The sequence below is a fragment of the Homo sapiens genome, chromosome 1 (genome assembly GCF_000001405.40).
Source record: "Homo sapiens chromosome 1, GRCh38.p14 Primary Assembly".
Taxonomy (NCBI): domain Eukaryota; kingdom Metazoa; phylum Chordata; class Mammalia; order Primates; family Hominidae; genus Homo; species Homo sapiens.
Genome location: NC_000001.11, coordinates 151,192,718 through 151,213,363, shown reverse-complemented (window position 1 = coordinate 151,213,363; position 20,646 = coordinate 151,192,718). Strand labels below are relative to the sequence as shown.

General features: G+C 46.9%; 1 protein-coding gene and 1 long non-coding RNA gene across 52 annotated transcripts in view, besides 4 other annotated features; one reads left to right on the top strand and one right to left on the bottom strand.

Moving 5' to 3' along the window:
• Window positions 1–17,945, bottom strand: part of PIP5K1A (phosphatidylinositol-4-phosphate 5-kinase type 1 alpha) — a 54,113-nt gene extending 36,168 nt beyond the window's left edge. For 29 of the 51 annotated variants that reach the window (XM_006711567.5, XM_047431698.1, XM_011510049.4 and 26 more), the window contains exon 1: window positions 14,283–14,812. Coding sequence is in view for 45 of the 51 variants with exons in the window: in XM_006711563.5 (XP_006711626.1) it covers window positions 14,283–14,367 (85 nt within the window). In the remaining 6 variants the exon portion in view is untranslated. Of the gene's footprint in view, window positions 1–7,034; window positions 9,559–14,176; window positions 14,813–15,246; window positions 15,982–16,714; window positions 16,788–17,864 lie in introns of those variants that run through there. The other 22 variants (XM_005245530.6, XM_047431709.1, XM_005245532.5 and 19 more) reach the window with 9 other exon arrangements.
• Window positions 1,107–2,099: an enhancer, noted in NCBI's record as "H3K27ac-H3K4me1 hESC enhancer chr1:151183741-151184733 (GRCh37/hg19 assembly coordinates)". NCBI's record gives its function as "activates a minimal SCP1, AML or CMV promoter by ChIP-STARR-seq in primed H9 embryonic stem cells {active_cell/tissue: H9 hESC(primed)}" and the evidence as "EXISTENCE:reporter gene assay evidence [ECO:0000049][PMID:30033119]".
• Window positions 2,648–2,805: a silencer, noted in NCBI's record as "fragment chr1:151183035-151183192 (GRCh37/hg19 assembly coordinates)". NCBI's record gives its function as "represses an EF-1alpha promoter that drives an FKBP-Casp9 reporter gene in an ReSE screen in K562 erythroleukemia cells {active_cell/tissue: K562}" and the evidence as "EXISTENCE:reporter gene assay evidence [ECO:0000049][PMID:32094911]".
• Window positions 14,335–14,414: an enhancer, noted in NCBI's record as "active region_1713". NCBI's record gives its function as "activates an Ori minimal core promoter by ATAC-STARR-seq in GM12878 lymphoblastoid cells {active_cell/tissue: GM12878}" and the evidence as "EXISTENCE:reporter gene assay evidence [ECO:0000049][PMID:35858748]".
• Window positions 14,515–14,714: an enhancer, noted in NCBI's record as "active region_1712". NCBI's record gives its function as "activates an Ori minimal core promoter by ATAC-STARR-seq in GM12878 lymphoblastoid cells {active_cell/tissue: GM12878}" and the evidence as "EXISTENCE:reporter gene assay evidence [ECO:0000049][PMID:35858748]".
• LOC124904419 (uncharacterized) lies at window positions 14,839–15,257 on the top strand. Its single transcript, XR_007066620.1, has 2 exons — window positions 14,839–14,913; window positions 15,024–15,257. It is a non-coding gene; the product is annotated as an uncharacterized LOC124904419 (long non-coding RNA).
• Window positions 17,946–20,646: the final 2,701 nt, after the last annotated feature.

Below are 20,646 nucleotides of genomic sequence, written 5' to 3'. Positions count from 1 at the left end.
AATAATTCCAGAACAGCAGAACCAGTCAAGTCAAATGCCAAAGTGAAAACAACCCAGTCAATTTTTGCTAAATACAATGTCAAGCCTACTCTGGACACACTGCCTATAAGGTAGCCCTGCTCCACAAGGAGCAGTACCCCAAAAAAATACAAATTTTATTTTTTAAAAAAAGGCAGGCCGGGCGCGGTTGCTCACACCTGTAATCCCAGCACTTTGGGAGGCCAAGGCGGGGGAATCACAAGGTCAGATCGAGACCATCCTGGCTAACACAGTGAAACCCCGTCTCTACTAAAAATAAAAAATAAAATAGCCGGGCGTGGTGGCGGGCGCCTGTAGTTCCAGCTACTCCAGAGGCTGAGGCAGGAGAATGGCATGAACCCAGGAGGCGAACTTTGCAGTGAGCCGAGATCACGCCACTGCACTCCAGCCTGGGCGACAGAGCGAGACTCTGTCTCAAAAAAAAGAAAAAAAAAAAAAAAAAAGGCAAAGTCAGCCAGGCACGGTGGCTCACGCGTATAATCCCAGCACTTTGTGAGGCCGAGGCAGGCAGATCACGAGGTCAAGAGATCAAGACCATCCTGGCCAACATGGTAAAACCCCGTCTCTACTAAAAATACAGAAATTGGCTAGGCGTGGTGGCGTGCGCCTGTAGTCCCAGCTACTCGAGAAGCTGAGGCAGGAGAATGGCTTGAACCTGGGAGGCAGAGATTGCAGTAAGCAGAGATCATGCCACTGTACTCCAGCCTGGCGACAGAGCGAGACTCCGTCTCAAAAAAAAAAAGGCAAAGTCGAATCATCACACCATGTCACAGAAAATTTTTCTGAGTAACTCTGTACCAGTCCTAAGGAAGCATTCCATTTTGATCCTCGGCCCCACCTTTAATTGTGTTTGTGGTGAAGAGGTACTGGGGAAGCTGATTTCCAGTCACTTGGCAAACACAACTATGATTCTTCATAAATTTACTTGCTACTACCCAGCCACTGGAGACTAATATTCACTATTGAGAGGAAGGAGAAAATGTAAAGGAAGTGAAAATCCATCAGTATAATCTGAGAAGTGTGAAAAAAGGAAACTTCAGAATGAGAAATGAGCTGAACTTTAAGATGGTTTTGAACTCCTGGCTTCAACTGATCCACCCACTTTGGCCTCCCGAAGTGCTGGGATTACAGGCGTTAAGCTACCGCACCAGCCACAAAGATGTTTAAGAGATAACTTGAAGAGATAATGTAAACAAAATCTTTTTTTTTTTTTGAGACGGAGTCTCACACTGTCACCCAGGATGGAGTGCAGCGTCGTGATCTTGGCTCACTGCAAGCTCTGCCTTGCGGATTCACGCCATTCTCCTACCTCAGCCTCCCGAATAGCTAGGACTACAGGCACCTGCCACCACACCCAGCTAATTTTTTTTTTATTTTTTGTTTTTAGTAGAGACGGGGTTTCACCACGTTAGCCAGGATGGTCTCGATCTCCTGACCTCGTGATCCGCCCGCCTCGTTCTCCCAAAGTGCTGGAATTACAGGCGTGAGCCACCGCACCCGGCCTTTTTTTTTCTTTTTTGAGACAGACTCTTGCTCTGTCGCCCAGGCTGGAGTGCAGTGGCACGATCTTGGCTCACTGCAAGCTCCGCCTCCCGGGTTCATGCCATTCTCCCGCCTCAGCCTCCCGAGCAGCTGGGAGTAGCTGGGACTACACGCGCCCGCCACAACGCCCGGCTAATTTTTTGTATTTTTAGTAGAGACGGGGTTTCACCATGTTAGCCAGGATGGTCTCGATCTCCTGACCTTGTGATCTGCCCGCCTCAGCCTCCCAAAGTGCTGGGATTACAGGCATGAGCCACCACGCCTGGCCAACAAAATATCTTTTAAGTTTTTTGGTCTTGAGACAAGGTCTCACTCTGTCACCCAGGCTGGAGGGCAGTGGCAGGAACACAGCTTACTGCAGCCTCAACCTCTCAGGTTCAAGTGATTCTCCCCTCAGACTCCAGAGTAGCTGGGACTACAGGCACACATCGCCATGCCCAGCTAATTTTTATATTTTTTGTAGAGACAGGGTTTCACTATGTTACCCAGGCTGGTTTCAAACTCCTGAGCTCAAGCAATCTGCCTGCCTCAGCCCCCCAAAGTGCTGGGACTACAGGTGGAAACCACTGTGCCCAAATAATTCTGAAATGAGTTCTCCTCACTCTAGTGTGTGGAACAAAACAGAGTTGGCCTTAATAGCACAGCCTCTCCCTGCACTTTCAGAGCAGAAGCATTTCTGTCAGAGATGCAATGACATCATCTACTGATGAGAAACCAAGAAGCAGTGTGTGACTGACTCTAATGTTTGAAATAAACATATAATTTGGGGACACTAAAGGCTAGCCAGATATGCATTCCTCAGACAACTGGAGTTTTGCCCAAACAGGTCATAGGGAAACAATCCCTGAGGTCCAATTTAATTGCCTACCAACACTACTACATAAATATGTCAATAAGCCCGGGCACAATGGCTCATGACTGTAATCCCAGCACTTTGGGAGGCTGAGGCAGGTAGATCACCTGAGGTCAGGAGATCAAAACCAGCCTGGTCAACATGGCAAAACCCGTCTCTACTAAAAATACAAAAAAATTAGCCGGGCATGGTGGCGCACACCTGTAATCCCGACTACTCGGGAGGCTGAGGCAGGAGAATCACTTGAACCCAGGAGACGGGAGGCTGCAGTGAGCCCAGATCATGCCACTACACTCCAGCCTGGGCAACAGAGCGAGACTCCATCTCAAAAAATATATATGTATGTCAATAGTTCCTACATAGAGCACAAAGAGATAAGCAGCTTTTTTGGAATTAAAATGCTAACTCTCAGTGGACTTTTGGTTGATAAAGATGGAGCGCCACACCAAGCAGGGTGGCTCATGCCTGTAATTCCAGCACTTTGAGAGGCTGAGACAGGAGGATCGCTTTAGGCCAGGAGTTTGAGATCGACTGAGCAATATGATGAGACTGTCTCTACTTAAGAAAAAAAAAAAAACAGCAGTGTGGTGGCCCATGCCTGTAATCCTGAGTAGGCTGAGGTGGGAGGATCACTTCAGCCCAGGAGTTTGAGGCTACAGTGAGCTATCATCATGCCATTGCACACCACCCTGGATGACAGAGTGAGATCCAGTCTCGAGGAAAAAAAAAAGTGGGGGGGCCGGGGAGGGCGGGCGCAGTGGCTCACACCTGTAATCCCAGCACTTTGGGAGGCGGAAGCAGGCAGATCACCTGAGGTCAGGAGTTCGAGACCAACCTGGCTAACATGGCAAAACCCCGTCTCTACTGAAAATACAAAAATTAGCCAGACACGGTGGCGGGCACCTATAATCCCAGCTACTCGAGAGGCAGAGGCACAAGAATCTCTTGAACCCAGGAGGCAGAGATTGCAGTGAGCTAAGATTGCACCACTGCACATCAATCAGCCTGGGCAACAGAGCAAGACTCCATCTCAGAAAAAAGAAAGAAAAAAAAATGCAGGCTAGTCGTGGTGACTCACGCCTGTAACTCCAGCATTTTGGAAGGCTGAGGTGGGCAGATCACGAGGTTAGGATTAGGAGTTCAAGACCAGCCTGGCCAACATGGTGAAACCCCGTCTCTACTAACAATACAGGCGGGGCACGGTGGCTCACACCTGTAATCCCAGCACTTTGGGAGGCTGAGGTGGGCGGATCACCTGAGGTCAGGAGTTCAAGACCAGCCTGACCAACATGGAGAAACCCCATCTCTACCAAAAATACAAAATTAGCCAGGTATGGTGGCGCATACCTGTAATCCCAGCTACTCAGGAGGCTGAGACAGGAGAATTGCTTGAACCTGGGAGGCAGAGGTTGCGGTGAGCAGAGATCATGCCATTGCACTCCAGCCTGGGCGACAAGAGCAAAACTCCATCTCAAAAAAAAAAAAAAAAAAATTAGCCAGGCATGGTGGCACGCGCCTGTAATCCCAGCTACTAGAGAGGCTAAGGCAGAATTGCTTGAACCCAGGAGGCGGAGGTTGCAGTGAGATGGCATCGTGCCACTGCACTCCAGCCTGGGCGACAGAGCAAGACTCTGTCTTGGGCGGGGGAAAGAAAAAAAGCAAGATCCCTTACAATATAATAGAACAAAAACAAAATCTACCCAGTTATTTGCTGGATTATCTGAGGCAATCTCTCTGGTCCTAGTTAACTTGGAATACTGAAAGACACTCTATACGCCTGCAGGTGGGAGACACAAATTGTTCTTCAACTGAAAATACTCTTGAAATGTCAACCTGCCTCCTGAGAAGTACTGCTGAACACATAGCTCTAAGGAAGTGTGTTCAAAAAAAAAAAAAGCGGCCAGGCGCAGTGGCTCACGCCTGTAATCCCAGCACCTTGGGAGGCCGAGGCAGGCAGATCACCAGGTCAGAAGATCGAGACCATCCTGGCTAACACGGTGAAACACCCCCACCAAAAAAAATACAAAAAGTTAGCCGGGCGTGGTAGCAGGCGCCTGTAGTCCCAGCTACTCGGGAGGCTGAGGCAAGAGAATGGCGTGAACCCAGGAGGCGGAGCTTGCAGTCAGCCGAGATTGCACCAGTGCACCCCAGCCTGGGCAACAGAGCAAGACTCCGTCTCCAAAAAAAAAAAAAAAAAAAAAAAAAAAAAAGCGTACCATTACAACATCCTTAATAATGACTGGATCAAGCAAATTAAGAAAACCAAGCCACGGCCGGACGCAGTGGCTCACACTTGTAATCCCAGCACTTTGGGAGGCTGAGGCAGGTGGATGCCAAAGTCAGGAGTTCGAGACCAGCCTGACCAACATGGTGAAACCCCGTCTCTACTAAAAATACAAAAATTAGCTGGGCGTGGTGGTGTGCGCCTGTAATCCCAGATACTCAGGAGGCTGAGGCAGGGGAATCGCTTGAAAGCGGGAAGTGGAGCTTGCAGTGACCCAAGATTGCACCACTGCACTCCAGCCTAGGCGACAGAGTGAGACTCCATCTCCAAAAAAAAAAAAAAAAGAAAAGAAAACCAAGCCACATTTCAGAGAAAAGCTAAATTTTGTTTCTTAGCTGGTGTAAATTTTTCCTAACGCTCTTCTAGGAAACAGTCAGAAGTGCAAGGATGTCCCTAGAAACAAAAGCTTGAAAGCAATTTGATCTACCAGTCCTGGGGTCACCTCAGCTAATAGCCAATTAAAAGCAGTATATCAAAGAATGAGCCAGCTGGGCCCGGTGGCTCACACCTGTAATCCCAGCACTTTGGGAGGCCAAGGCAGGTGGATCAGCTGAAGTTAGGAGTTCGAGAACAGCCTGACCCAACATGGAGAAACCCCATTTCTACTAAAAATACAAAAATTAGCCAGGCGTGGTGGCATGTGCCTGTAATCCCAGCTACTAGGGAAGCAGGGGAATCACTTGAACTCAGGAGGAGGAGGATGCAGTGAGCCAAGATCGCACCACTGCACTCCAGACTGGGCAGCAAGAGCGAAACTCTGTCTCAAAAAAAAAAAAAAGAAGGAGCAACATATTTATTAAGATTAATCTTGATGGCCAGGTGTGGTGCCTCATGCCCGTAATCATCCCAGCACTTTGGGAGGCCGATGCAGGCAGATCACGAGGTCAGGAGTTCAAGACCAGCCTGGCCAGCATGGTGAAACCCTGACTCTGCTAAAAATACAAAAATTAGCCAGGCGTGGTGGCGTGCGCCTGTAATCCCAGCTACTTGGGAGGCTGAGGAAGCAGAATCACTTGAACCTGGAAGACAGAGGTCACAGTGAGCCGAGATCACGCCACTGCACTCCAGCCTGAGGGACAGAGCGAGACTCCATCTCAAAAAAAAAAAAAAAGATTAATCTTGGTAACATACAGCCTTTATGCAACATCTTTACCTCAGTTTCCTAATTTGGAAAATGAGGGAGTTAAATTAAAATAACTCTACATTTCCCTCTAGTCAACTTTTGCTTCTAATCCTACAAACAAGTTTCATGGTTCTCAGACCTCAAATATGTATCCCTTGGCACAAAAACGTTCTTTGAAATTAAGAAAAAAATCCAAGTCCTTCCTTAAAAGACTTGGGTTTCCTGAATAAGCTACCCATGGCCAAGAGGCACTTGAAATTTTTGGCAGATAGCCACCTTCCAATTTTATTTCCAAATCTGGTTCTATCTTGAAACAGCAATGAATTCTGCTGGATTAAAATGAACATATTTCAGACCAGGCGCGGTGGCTCACGCCTGTAATCCCAGCACTTTGGGAGGCCAAGGCGGGCAGATCACTTGAGGTCAGGAGTTCAAGATCAGCCTGGCCAACATGGTGAAACCTCATCTCTACTAAAAATACAAAAATTAGCTAGGCATGTTGGTGTGTACCTGTAATCCCAGCTACTAGGGAGGCTAAGACAGGAGAATCGCTTGAACCCAGCAGGCGAAGGTTGCAGTGAGGGTCGCCTGAGGTCAGAAGTTCGAGACCAGCCTGGCGAACATGGCGAAACCCCGTCTCTACTAAAAATACAAAAATAGCCGGGAAGGTGGCTCACGCCTATAATCCCAGCACTTTGGGAGGCTGAGGTGGGCAGATCACCTGAGGTCAGGGGTTAGAGACCAGCCTGGCCAGCATGGTGAAACCCTGTCTCTACTGAAAGTACAAAAATTAGCCGGATGTGGTGGCACGTGCCTGTAGTCCCAGCTTCTTGGGAGGCTGAGGCTGGTGAATCGCTTCAACCCGGGAGGTGGAGGTTGCAGAGAGCTGAGATCCCACCACTGCACTCCAGCCTGGGCAAAAGAGTGAAACTCCGCCTCAAAAAACAAAACAAAACAAAACAAAAAAAGTATTAATATACTCTAATTAAATATCCTAAAAACAAACAAACAAGAACAAAAAACCCTCTTCTCATTCCCTCTCGCCAACTTCCTTTGCTCACCTCCCCTTTGCCCACCCCCAACCAATATCTCTAATCTTTTTGGACAGCTTATTCTGGATTACTTCCATATTGCTCAGTTAAGTATACAAGGTAAATAATAAGAATATGCTGAACTCCCTACAACAGACCTACCTTCCTCTCTTTTTGCCAATGTCTTCCTCAGATTCCAACAAGAGAGATTTTCCAGGAATTAGATATTTGTAAATTAATACATACTGAATACAACCATTACAAATAAACAGACTGAAATTTCACAGGAGAATAAAGAAAAATGGAGACAGTTTAAAAAGATGGAGGGGTTGAGGGAAAAAAGTTCACTTCAAATAGAAAACAGTAAAAGAATAAAAGCTTGTAGGAGATATGAACAAAACAGGATAAACATATGTCGAAATTAAATTCTCTGTTTAGATGGGAAAGGGCAGAGAAGTGAGGTGCAATAGGGGAAACGGGCTTCTTAGGGTTTCCTCTAGGAAACACCATCGGTGTTTCATTCAGTCTCTCTGGGCTGGGTATGGAGCACAGAAAAACAAAGATTCCCTCTCTACCTGGCCATCAGGAAAGAGTATATTCTTGAAGTACACTTTTGTCCTTGATCAAGGAAACCCAGTAAAAAGAAGAAAGAAAAATAAACTGATAAGTTTTCTTGTTCCCTTTTCTTTTTTTTGAGACGGAGTCTTGCTCTGTTGCCCTGGCTGGAGTGCAGTAGTGCACTCTAAGCTCACTGCAACCTCCGCCTCCTGGGTTCAAGTGATTCTCTTGACTCAGCCTCCCTAGCAGCTGGGATTACACGAGCACGCCACCACGTCTGACTAATTTTTGTATTTTTTGTAGAGACAGGGTTTCGCCAGGCTGGTCTGGAACTCCTGACCTCAGGTGATCCACCTGCCTTGGCCTCCCAAAGTGCTGGCATTACAGGCGTGAGTCACCATGCCCGGCTCTTGTTCCCTTCTTTACGTCAAGTAAGAATGCTCCAAAATTCTAGGAGAGAGGCCGGGCAGTAGCTCACGCCTGTAATCTCAGAACTTTGGGAAGCCAAGGCAGGAGGATCGCTTGAGGCCAGGAGTTCAAGGCCAGCCTGGCCAACATGGGGAAACCCCGCCTCTACTAAAAATACAAAAATTATCTGGGCGTGGTGGCGCACGCCTGTGATCCTAGTGACCTAGGAGGCTGAGGCAGGAGAATCGCTTGAACCTGGGAGGCAAGGGCTGCAGTGAGCCAAGATCGCACCACTGCACTACACTGGTCTGTAGCCTGGGCGACAGAGCAAGACTCTGTCTCAAAAAAATAATAAATAACATTCTAGGAGAGAACAATTTAAAGGATAAAATTACCACCTTCCCTCTCCCCAGTTTGCTAGCTGGCCTGGTATTATCTCTGTTGTTCACTTCACAGGCTATAGTTTCCACTTTATTATCCAAGAAAAACAGGCTAATAAAATATTTAATAGCTATTAGGTAGCACATATTTGAGCAAAGGTATTAATCAGAAGAGTTTTAAATTAACCTAAAAAAGCCCACAGACATTAATAAGCAAAACGTACTATTTTGATATTCAACGCTAACGTGTAAGTACACATTATCAATTAATATCAGAAACTGGATACCTATTAGACTAGTTAATTATAACTGACAATGGGCTTGAGTGTCATGGCAGAAATAAATCGATCAGAAGCAATGACATTCTGATGTCAGTTTTCTGGCAGAATATACCAAGGTGACAAAAGGAAAAAGGGGTGGGTGGAAAGTGTCAAAATCCCTATGGAGAGTAAACAGAAAAATATCTCCCTATTTATAAAATATCAACCAAAATGGCACCTGGTGATATTCTGACATTGTATTCTATGTTTGCATTTCTAAATTTCAGTTTATCATTCAACATGATCTAAACTGCTTTACTTTTCACTAAGAGGAAGAACTAGGAAAGAAATCAGCCTACAAATGGCTTACACTGTACACAACAGAACACAGATCAAAAAAACATCCACAGGCCGGGCGTGGCGGCTCACGCCTGTAATACCAGCACTTTGGGAGGCTGAAGTGGGCAGATCACCTGAGATCAGGAGTTTGAGACTAGCCTGGCCAACATGGCGAAACCCCGTCTCTACTAAAAATACAAAAATTAGCCGGGCGTGTTGGCGGGTGCCTGTAATCCCACCTACTCAGGAGGCAGAGGCAGGAGAATCACTCAAACCCCAGAGGCAGAGGTTACAGTGAGCCGAGATCGCGCCATTGCACTCCAACCAGGGCAACAAGAGCGAAACTCCATCTCAAAAAAATATATATATATATCAACAATAATCCCTACTACTGGAGTTAACAGATTACTGCAGGTTACAGGTAGGGCTCTGCTGGGAAGAACAAAGCAATCAGAATCACAGACTGATGAAGCTGTCCCTACTATAAAAGTCCCAAGCAAAAATGCTCCAATACTGTATCCTCTGGATCTCCCTGAGCCGTTAAGGGGGAGAAAAAGTCAGGTAAGCAGCTGTAAAGTTATGTCTAAATCATTTGTGCACATGATAAAATCATATAGGTGAGCGATGACCATTTTAAAAATGTTCTAGTCTGAAGCAAAAGGAACTACACAGCTCATGATTATCTAGGGTTTAAGTGCTTTTCTTTTTTCTTTTTTTTTTTTTTGAGACAGAGTCTCACTCTGTCTCCAGGATGGAGTACAGTGGCGTGATCTCAGCTCACTGCAACCCGCGCCTCCTGGGTTCCAGCAATTCTCCTGCCTCAGCCTTCCGAGTAGCTGGGACTACAGGAGTGTGCCACCATGACTAGCTAATTTTTGTATTTTTAGTAGAGACGGGGTTTCACCACGTTGGTTAGGATGGTCTCCATCTCTTGAGCTTGTGATCCGCCCACCTCGGCCTCCCAAAGTGCTGGGATTACAGGCGTGAGCTACTGCTCCTGGCCTTTTTTTTTTTTTTGAGATGGAGTTTCACTCTTGTCCCCCAGGCTGGAATGCAATGGTGTGATCTTGACTCATTGCAACCTCTGTCCCCCGGGTTCAAGCAATTCTCCTGCCTCAGCCTCCTGAGTAGCTGGGATTACAGGTGCCTGCCACCACACCCGGCTAATTTTTGTATTTTTAGCAGAGACAGGGTTTCACCATGTTGGCCAGGCTGGTCTCAAACTCCTGACCTCAGGTGATCCGCCTGCCTTGGCCTCCCAAAGTGCTGAGAATATAGGTGTGAGCCATTGTACCCAGCCTCAAGTGCTTTTCCTTGAGGAAGTCACACATGATTTTACTCCACAACTCTTATTTCATAGGAGCAGTGTACACCTTAGTATCCTATCCCTTCTAACCCAACCACTAACTTCAAATCAAGCCTCCAAGACAGAAATTCTTTACTCTCCTCATGGTGGTAAAAAGGGCATAAAGTAAGGCCAGCGGCGGCGGCTAAAGCCTGTATGTACCTCAGCACTTTGCAAGGCTGAGGCGAGAGGATCACCTGAGGTCAGGAGTTTGAGACCAGCCTGACTAACATGGTGAAATCTGATCTCTACTAAAATACAAAAATTAGCCAGACGTGGCAGGTGCCTGTAATCTCAGTTACTTGGGAAGCTGAAGCAGGAGAATCGCTTGAACTCTAGAGGCTGAGGCTGCAGTGAGCCAAGATTGCTCCACCGCACTCCAGCCTGGGCGACAGAGAGAGACTCCCTCTCAAAAAAAAAAAAAGACTTTACTGGCAGGGCATGGTGGCTCACGCCTGTAATCCCAGCACTATGGGAGCCCGAGATGGGTGGATCACCTGAGGTCAGGAGTTTGAGACCAGCCTGGCCAACATGGTGAAACCCTGTCTCTACTAAAATACAAAAATTAGTCAGATGTGGTGGCAGGTGCCTGTAATCTGTTACTTGGGAGGCTGAGCAGGCAACTCGCTTGAACCCGGGAGGCTGAGGCTGCAATGAGCCAAGATCACCCCACTGCACTCCAGCCTGGGTGACAAGAGCAAGAGTCCACCTAAAAAAAGAGAAAAAAGATTTTATTTGCGATTGGAAGAGAGTGTTTCTTTGTCTGCATGGTACCAGAGGAATTAGGAAGTTGGCAGGAACAAGTGATGGTTTATGATTTCCTGAATTGTTAAAGGCTAGAAGGCTGGCCCTGTAGAAATTCAAGAAGTGTGCGTGTCAACCACCCTAAAACCATTTACTGTTCTTAGCTGTTTAGCTGAACTCCACTTAAGTTTTGGTGAAACTCTGAAATCCTAAAGGACAATGTTCTCTGACAATGCTGAAAATGGATATAAAACAAAAATGTCATAGCCAAGGACATATTGACAGTTTTTGATAAGCCACTCACAACTTCTAGGCACTCCCAATCTTCTGGCATTTAAATTGGGAAGGAGAGGTTATTTAGGAGAGTTTGTTCCCTGCCAATATTAAAGATAGTTTCACCATTAAGCTGTCAGCTTTTACACTGTTGACAAGTGAAATACACAGAGTAAAGCAAACCATAAGCTCTAAGAGATGTTTAACTACTTTTGCTATTGGAGCAATTACCATGTTTGGATTTGGTGGAGGCCATTATAATCTTTCCATAGTCCATCAAGAGCTTGAAATTTAGCCACTTTTTGCCCCCTTTTTTTTGTTTTGAGACAGAGTCTTGCTCTGTCACCCAGACTGGAGTGCAGTGGTGTGATCTCGGCTCACTGCAACCTCTGCCTCCCGGGTTCAAGCAATTCTCCTGACTCAGCCTCCTAAGTAGCTGGGATTACAGGCCTGCGCCAACATGCCTGGCTAATTTTTTTGTATTTTTTAGTAGAGATGGGGTTTCACCATGTTGGCCAGGCTGGTCTCGAACTCCTGACCTTGCGATATGCCTGTAATCCCAGCATTTTTGGAGGCCGAAGTGGGCGGATTACTTGAGGTCAGGAGTTCAAGACTAGTCTGGCTGACATGATGAAACCCCATCACTACTAAAAACACAAAAAAATAAAATAGCCAGGCATGATGGCACATGCCTGTATTCCCAGCTACTTGGGAGACTGAGTCAGGAGACTCATTCGAAGCTGGGAGGCAGAGGTTGCAGTAAGCCAAGATGGCACCACTGCACTCCAGCCTGGGTGACAGAATGATACTCTGTCTCAAAAAAAAAACCACAAAAACATTTATACAATCTGTATTATTAACTGTTAGTGAGAGGATCTGACAGAAAACATAAAGACCTACAAAAATACCAAAGAGTACAAAGCAAACACCTGACTTAATAGTTGAGAAGTTTGTTTATGGACCATACACAACCCTTCTTCTTTCTGGGTTGGGGATTAGAGGGGAAGCAGGTTTCAAATTAAGGAGCTACTCTATTAAAAATAAAAACCCAGGTGGGGCACGGTGGCTCACGCCTATAATCCCAGCACTTTGGGAAGCCAAGGCGGGCGGATCACAGGGTCAGGAGATCGAGACCATCCTGGCTAACACGGTGAAACCCCGTCTCTACTAAAAATACAAAAAACAAAATTAGCCAGGCGTGGTGGTGGGCGCCTGTAGTCCCAGCTACTCGGGAGGCTGAGGCAAAAGAATGGCGTGAACCCGGGAGGCAGAGCTTGCAGTGAGCCGAGATGGCCCCACTGCACTCCAGCCTGGGCGACAGAGCGAGACTCCGTCTCAAAAATAAATAAATAAATAAATAAATAAATAAATACCCTGTCACTTTTACTTTATCCTATTTCATGCTTATAATGCAGCATGAGTTGTTCTGGTCCCCTAATACTTTTATAGGAAAGGTAAAAAATCCCCTCTCAACAAACTAAAAATAGAGATTTATTAAAAATAAATAAAACTGCAGCTTATTAAGAAGATATGTGTGACTAGATATTTCAGCATCTGAGCTGGAATGTGAAAGGTGGAAGGAACCCTATTCAGCAAATTCTAAACAGCAAAAACGCAACACCAGGCCTGAGGAAATACCAAAATCTCAAGCAAAGCATCCAACATCTGGCAGCGTCTATTCCAGTGTAGAAGCAGCAGTTACTGTGAAACACCAGACACTTCTGATGGAAGCGCTCAGTTTCTGACTCACCTCCCGCCCCCCCACCCGACACACATACACACACTTTCTCCCCTACACACAATCTACTGCTTTTCTTGTGAGCCTCCTCAGCCCTCCCTCAATCTTCATTCGTTTTTAACTATTAATACGCTGAGCTCTCTACATTAACCTGGCTCCATTCTCCAAATTCCAATCTCCTGATACAGCGTAAGCATTCTTCCAGTCCATTTTTCTATTATGCAATACTCCCCCACAACACTTACAGTCACCCCCCCACCCATCTTTCTTCTTCTCAGGCCTAATTTCCAAAACATCACTTCTCGCAGTCTCTACTGCAATTCAAGACTCCATTCCATCTTTCCCATCTGTTTTTAAGGTCTTTGACCTTAATTTCCTACATTCCTTAGACTCTCTTCAAAATTTCCATTCCTTCCCAAAGTTGGGCAGTTTAGAGTTGGGAATCACCAAAGGAATTAGTCTGAGAAAGTATGTATGTGTGTCTGTGTGCCTGTGCGGCCCTAAGGGTGGGGGTGCGAAGTGAGAAGGGGTGACACATTAGGGGGGAGTATCTGAGGGAAAAGATGGCTTCAACAACTCCCGCCCACCCAACAAAATTCACGATTCCCTACCTCTCCAGAAATCGAAAGCGTCCAATAACTTTTCGATATCTTTTAAGTCCCATGGCTTCTCTTCAACATTTTCATCCAATTAGCCCACAATCAACTTAGATTCCACCTGCCTCTCACACTAAGTAGTTCTCTCTACTTCTTAGGCCTCCATTTACTTTCTTAGTTTCTCTACTCCCTTCCGTTTCTCTTGTTTCCTACCGCAACTTCTTTTTTTTTTTTTTTGAGACAGGGTCTCACTCTCTCGCCCAGACTGGAGAGCAGTGGCCCAATCTCGGCTCACCGCAAGCTCTGCCTCCCAGGCTCAAGGGATTATCCTGCCTCAGCCTCCCAAGTAGCTGGGATTACAGATGCACGCCACTACTGTCCGGATAATTTTTGTATTTTTAGTAGGGACGAGATTTCTCTATGTTGGCCAGGCTCGTCTCGAACTTCTGACCTCAAATGATCCGCCCGCCAAGGCCTCCCAAAGTGCTGAGATTACAGGCGTGAGCCACCGCGCCGGGCCACCCTACCCCCACCTTCAATCTCCATCCGTCCTCCTCAAAGACAACCAAAGTTTTCGACAACTTCTTAATCAAACTTATCCTTTCCTCAAACTCCTGCCCGCTCATAAATCCCTATTTGAAAGCCCAGCTCGCGCCCACTTACCGGTAACACGTAGGACATTCCCAGCTACAGGTACCCTCTTAGGTCTCGCTCTTCCTCCCATCGCATATTCCTCACCAGCTCCCTACCCACGCCCTGCCGGGCTTACCTGAGGACAAGGTACAGGAAGGGACCGCGGGATCAAAGGATGAAAAACCGACCGAAGACGACGGCCCGGAGGAGGCCGACGCCATCTTAGCAGCCCCCTCCCCCTCAGCGGCCTGGCTCTCTTTCAATCCGGTTCTTCCTCTTCTCGGAATCGAATCTTCCCAACGTCTCTTTACAGAACCCGCGTTCTGTGGGCCACCTCCCCGCCCCCTCCGGGGCCTCCCTCAGACACGTCGAGCCGGCTCCTGGACCAGCTCAAGGCCACACCATTCGCCTGGCATGGGGAAGAACTCACGTCCCGCACCCCCTCCACAAGTTTAACCGCTTTCCACAGGGGATACTTTCCCCTTTCACAGAAGAGTAAGCTTAAGCTGGCTGCTGGGACCTTGCGCCCAGACCAAGCCACATCTGAAAAAAAAACGAGGCATGAAAAGTCCCAAAGGAGCGAACGCCCCTTCTCCGTCCTTCCTAACCACGGCCTGTTAATCGCCCAACCCGGCCGCTTCACTCCGGGTAGCCAAGCAAAAAATCCGAGCACTGCGCATGCGCCCGACCTTCTCGGGGCATCAGCCCACTCATTGGGGAGAAAAAAGGAGCAAAACCAATCGGGAGGCTGCTAATGGTCACGTGAGGTGGGTCCTCACGCCCTGACGAGTCCACGGGTGGAAGATGTGCGCGCGCGGGTTGGCCGACAGTCCCTACGGTGGCTCGGCAGGTCCTCTTAGGTTCAGTTCTTTGCTAGGACTGGGTCGAGTGATCTGAACTCGGGACAAGAGTCGGTCCGCCAAGTCCTCTGAAATTCCTAACCCAGGAAAGAACTCTCTGCGGGAGTACTGGTGTCAAGTCAGAGACGTTAAGGTGTCGAATATCACAAAACATTTAATACCACCAAGAACTCTTCTTAGTCTTTTTCCTGTTTTACTACTCTTGTTTACTATTTGATTAAACGTGCGTGCATGTCTTACCTTCCTCGGAATGGCATTCGAAATAGATCTGTGTTTTGTTTGCCTCAAGCACAAAGTTAGGCACTGCACAGTGACGGAGTTCAGTAAATATTTGATGCATGAATCAGTGAAGACCTGTCAAAAAAGGGCACGGGAGGCTATCAGGGACTTATCACAACCTTCCCGCGACCCAACCCCTTTAGCCTCCAACTGTCAATTATCTGTGCTCCAAAGGGCATGGAGATACACAGAAAAATTTCTCCCATTGTAGTCTTCGTAGTAACTGCTCGTTTTTAACAAAGTACCCCGTAGGCTATGAACCCTGGTGGGAAGACCAGTCTCTCTGAGCAGACTGTAAAACTTCTGGGGAGCAAGGACTGTGTTTGGTTCACTCTTGTATCTCCAGCTCCTCCAGTGACTTCGTACATAGTAGGGGCTCCATAATTATCTGTGGAATGAATAAATAAAGAGGAATGGTAAAACATTCGGGGTAAGAGTCGGTCAGATAGATCCTCTCAAACTCATGGCCCATGAAATAACTCCATTAAAACAGGTTTTGTGGCCGGGCGCGGTGGCTCACGCCTGTAATCCCAGCACTCTGGGAGGCCGAGGCGGGTGGATCACGAGGCCAGGAGATCGAGACCATCCTGGCTAACACGGTGAAACCCCGTCTCTACTAAAAATACAAAAAATTAGCCGGGCGTGGTGGCGGGCGCCTGTAGTCCCAGGCTACTCGGGAGCCTGGGGCAGGAGAATGGCATGAACCTGGGAGGCGGAGCTTGCAGTGAGCGGAGATCGCGCCACTGCACTCTAGCCTGGACGACAGAGCGAAACTGTCTCAAAACAAAACAAAACAAACAAACAAAAAAAACAGGTTTTGTAACCCCCAGAATGACCTGGTTATCCTCTTTCCAGATGTCTTGTGGGTCCTCATAAAGTAACCTAGGACCCGAACATCCATAGAATATCCCCATGCAGGCCGGGCGCCGTGGCTCACGCCTGAAATTCCAGCACTTTGGGAGGCCGAGGTAGGTGGATCATCTGAGCTCAGGAGTACGAGACAAGCCTGGCCAACATAGTGAAACCGCGTCTCTACTAAAAATACAAAAAATTAGCTGGGCGTGGTGGCGGGTGCCTGTAATCCCTGCTACTCGGGAGGCTGAGGCAGGAGAATCGCTTGAACCCAGGAGGCAGAGGTTGCAGTGAGCCAAGATCGCGCCATTGCACTCCAGCCTGGGCAACGAGAGCGAAACTCAGTCTCAAAAAAAAAAAAAAAAAGGCCGGGCGCAGTGGCTCACGCCTGTAAGCCCAGCACTTTGGGAGGCCGAGGCGGGCGGATCACCTGAGGTCGGGAGTTCAAGACCAGCCTGACCAACATGGAGAAACGCCGTCTCTACTAAAAATACAAAATTACCCAGGCGTAGTGGAGCATTCCTGTAATCCCAGCTACTCGCTACGCCGGAGGCTGAGGCAGGAGAATTGATTGAACCTGGGAGGCAGACGTTTCGGTGAGCCGAGATGGCGCCTTTGCACTCCAGCCTGGGCAACAAGAGCGAAACTCCAACTCAAAAAAAAAAAAAAAAAAAAATCCCCATGCATTTACTGCAGCCTTCTACTCCTCCCTTATGAAGATCTAAGATAATTGTTTCCCTGCTGCCACCTGCTGGATTATTCGTCTTCCTTTGGGCACCGAAAGTAGACAAAATCTTGTTTGTAATTCCACAGCAGTGGAATTTTGTTGTGTTGAAGTATTTTATAATTCCCTGTACCTATACCCTCCACTCAACTAAACAGGACAGGAACTAGTGAGGGGCACACTGAGCACAGGATTTGGCTCATAGGTATTCAATAAATAAATATTTGTTGAATAAATTATCCTTGTTTTCCGAAAAGGCATAGGATTGCTACCATTTCCTGAGTTACTTTAGAAATCGGATAGTGTAGCCGGACGCGGTGGCTCACGCCTGTAATCCCAGCACTTTGGGAGGCCGAGGCGGGCGGATCACGAGGTCAGGAGATCGAGACCATCCTGGCTAACACAGTGAAACCCCGTCTTTACTAAAAATACAAAAAATTAGCCGGGTGAGTTGGCCGGCGCCTGTAGTAGCCCCAGCTACTCGGGAGGCTGAGGCAGGAGAATGGCATGAACCTGGGAGGCGGAGCTTGCACTGAGCCGAGATCGTGCCACTGCACTGCAGCCTGGGCGACAGAGCGAGACTCCGTCTCAAAAAAAAAAAAAAAAAAAAAAAAAAAATCGGCTGGTGTTGATGTAAAGCTGTTTCTGATTTTAAAATTGGAAACAGACTAATAAATCCCAGAATGACCAACGCAGTCAAACAGAGGAATCTTCTCCCTGTGAGCTAATCTGTGAATTCCATTTTATTTTATTTTTGAGACAGAGTCTGGCTCTGTCACCCAGGCTGGAGTGCAGTGGCGCTTGGCTTACTGCAACCTCCACCTCCCGGGTTCAAGCGATTCTCCTGCCTCAGCCTCCCGAGTAGCTGGGACTACAGGCATGCACCACCACGCCCAGCTAATTTTTTATATTTTTAATTTTTATTTTCATCAAGTACTATTTTTATTTTTAATTTCACCAACTCCCACTCAGTCCCTGGGGCGCCCCCACTCCCACTCAGTACCTGGGGTGTCCTCTGAGTCATGGAACCACTCCTCCCCGGTAACATTCCTGGCATAGTAGAACTGTGGTGACGTGGCAGGGTGTGGAAACAGGGGCAGAGCAGGACATGTTGGCTTAGTGCCCCAAGGAAACAGAAAAGGGAGTTCACCAATACATACTTTGGGAAAGGGGGTACAATCTGATGACCTCAAAGTAGGGCCACAGGTACAGACTTCAGTACATGTGAGTACACACCCACACCTTTATTAAAGTGTCATTCATATCTTAGAACAGTTTCTTTATTTTATTTATTTATTTATTTTATTATTGTTTTTTTTTTGAGACAGAGTCTCCCTCTGTCGCCCAGGCTAGAGTGCAGTGGCGCGATCTTGGCTCGCTGCAACTTCCGCCTCCCGGGTTCAAGCGATTCTCCTGCATCAGCCTCCCAAGTAGCTGGGATTACAGGCACAAACCACCACGTCCGGCTAATTTTTTGTATCTTTAGTAGAGACAGGGTTTCACTGTGTTAGCCAGGATGGTCTCGATCTCTTGACCTCGTGATCTGCCTGCCTCGGCCTCCCTAAGTGCTGGGATTACAGGTATGAGCTACTGCGCCCGGCCAGAAAAGTTTCTAAGATTAGAATGAAGTGATGGGGACTGGCAAGAGCAAGGAAAGGATTCTACAATAAGAGGATGGGCTATTTATTCAATTAATCATTCATTAATTAATTCACTCAATTAACATTATTTAGCCCAAGCTACGTCCCAGGCACTATTAGAGTTCCTGGAATACACAGATGACCATTAAGCCCATCATCAGGCAGGATGGCTCACTCCTGTAATCCCAACACTTTGGGAGCTGAGGCAGGCAGATTGCTTGAGCCCAGGGGTTCAAGACTAGCCTGGGCAACATGGCAAAAATCCTATCTCTACAAAAAATACAAAAATTCGCTGAGCGTGGTGGTGCGCACCTGTAGTCACAGCTACTAAGGAAACTGAGATGGGTGGATCACTTGAGCCCAGGAGGTCAAGGCTGCAGTAAGCTAAAATTGCACCACTACTCTCCAGCCTGGGCGACAGAGCAAAACCATGTCTCCAAAACAATTTTTTTTAATTAAAAAAAGGAAAAGATTAAGCCCCTGCCCTCAAAAAGATCACAGACTAATGAGGGGAACAGACATGTGAATCATTAGAATACAATGTAATAGGTGCCATCATAAAGTTTGTGTAAGTGCTATGGTTTGATAACCATATTTTCAGAATAAAAAATGAGAACAGTCTTTACAACAGACAATATTTGAGATTGGAACTATTCCAGAGACTACAGAAGACATCATCTCCATAGTTATATGAATTGTGCCTGGAAAGAGAGGAATGGGTGTTCAGGAAGACTCCACTCTCCCATAAAATTAGAAAAGAAAGGAAAGGGATTCTAAGGAGAAAGAAAGGCATAGAGGCATGACAGAGAATTGGGTGTTAGGGGAGAGATGCTGGAGTAGTGATGTCGCAGGAGGTGTGACTAGAAGGACAGGGAGAGGCTAAATTATGAAGGATCTGAATACTGAATGCCATGTAGTAGTTACCACCTACTACACATTTACTATGCACTTACTAAACACTGTGCTAAGCAGTTGACAAGAATTATCTCTCTCTGTCTTTTTTTTTTTTTTTTTTTTTTTTTGAGACAGAATGTGGCTCTGTCGCCCGGGCTGGAGTGCAGTGGTGCTATCTTGGCTCACTGCAACCTCCGTCTCCTGGGTTCAAGCTATTCTCCTGCCTCAGCCTCTCGACTAGCTGGGACTACAGGCACCCGCCACCATGCCTGGGTAATTTTTATATTTTCAGTAGAGATGGGGTTTCACCATACTGGCCACGCTGGTCTCGAACTACTGACCTTGTGATCTACCCGCCTCGGCCTCCCAAAGTACTGGGATTATAGGCGTGAGCCATGGCACCTGGCCAATAATTATATCTCTTAATCTTCTACGACCTTAAAAGATAGGTATTATTATCAGTCCCACTTTGCAGATGAGAAAACTGAGATTCAGAGAAGTAAAGCAACTTGTCCAAAGTCATACAGCTAAAAGACCTTAAAGTTCACACTCAAATTCAGGTCTGGCTGGCTCTAAAGCTGTGTTCTCTTTTTGTTGTTGTTTTATTTTATTTTAATTTTTAATTGGCACATAATTGTACATATTTATGGGGCACATAGTGATGTTTCAATACATAAAATGTTTAGTGATCAGATCAGGATAATTAGTATATCTGTCATCTAAAAAATGTATCATTTATTTATTTATTTATTTTGAGATGGTGTCTCGCTCTGTCATCCAAGCTGGAGTGCAGTGGCACGACGTTGGCTCACTACAACCTCCACCTCCCGGTTTCAAGTGATTCTCATGTCTCAGCCTCCTAAGTAGCTGGAACTACAGGCACCTGCCACCACTCCTGGCCAATTTGCGTACTTTTTAGTAAAGACAAGGTTTCACCATGTCAGTCAGGCTTGTCTTGAACTACCGACCTCAAATAATCTGCCCACCTTAACCTCCCAAAGTGCTGGGATTACAGGCGTGAGCCACCGTGCCTGGCCTCACAAATATATAATTTATTTGTCTCCAGCACAAACATTCAATATCCTTCTTCTAGCTATTTGAAAATATTATTGTTAATCATAGTTATCCCCCAGTGATATAGAACACTAGAATTTTTTTTTTTTTTTTTGAGATGGAGTCTCACTCTTGTTGCCCAGGCTAGAGTGCAATGGTGCGATCTTGGTTCACTGCAACCTCCGCCTCCGGGGTTCA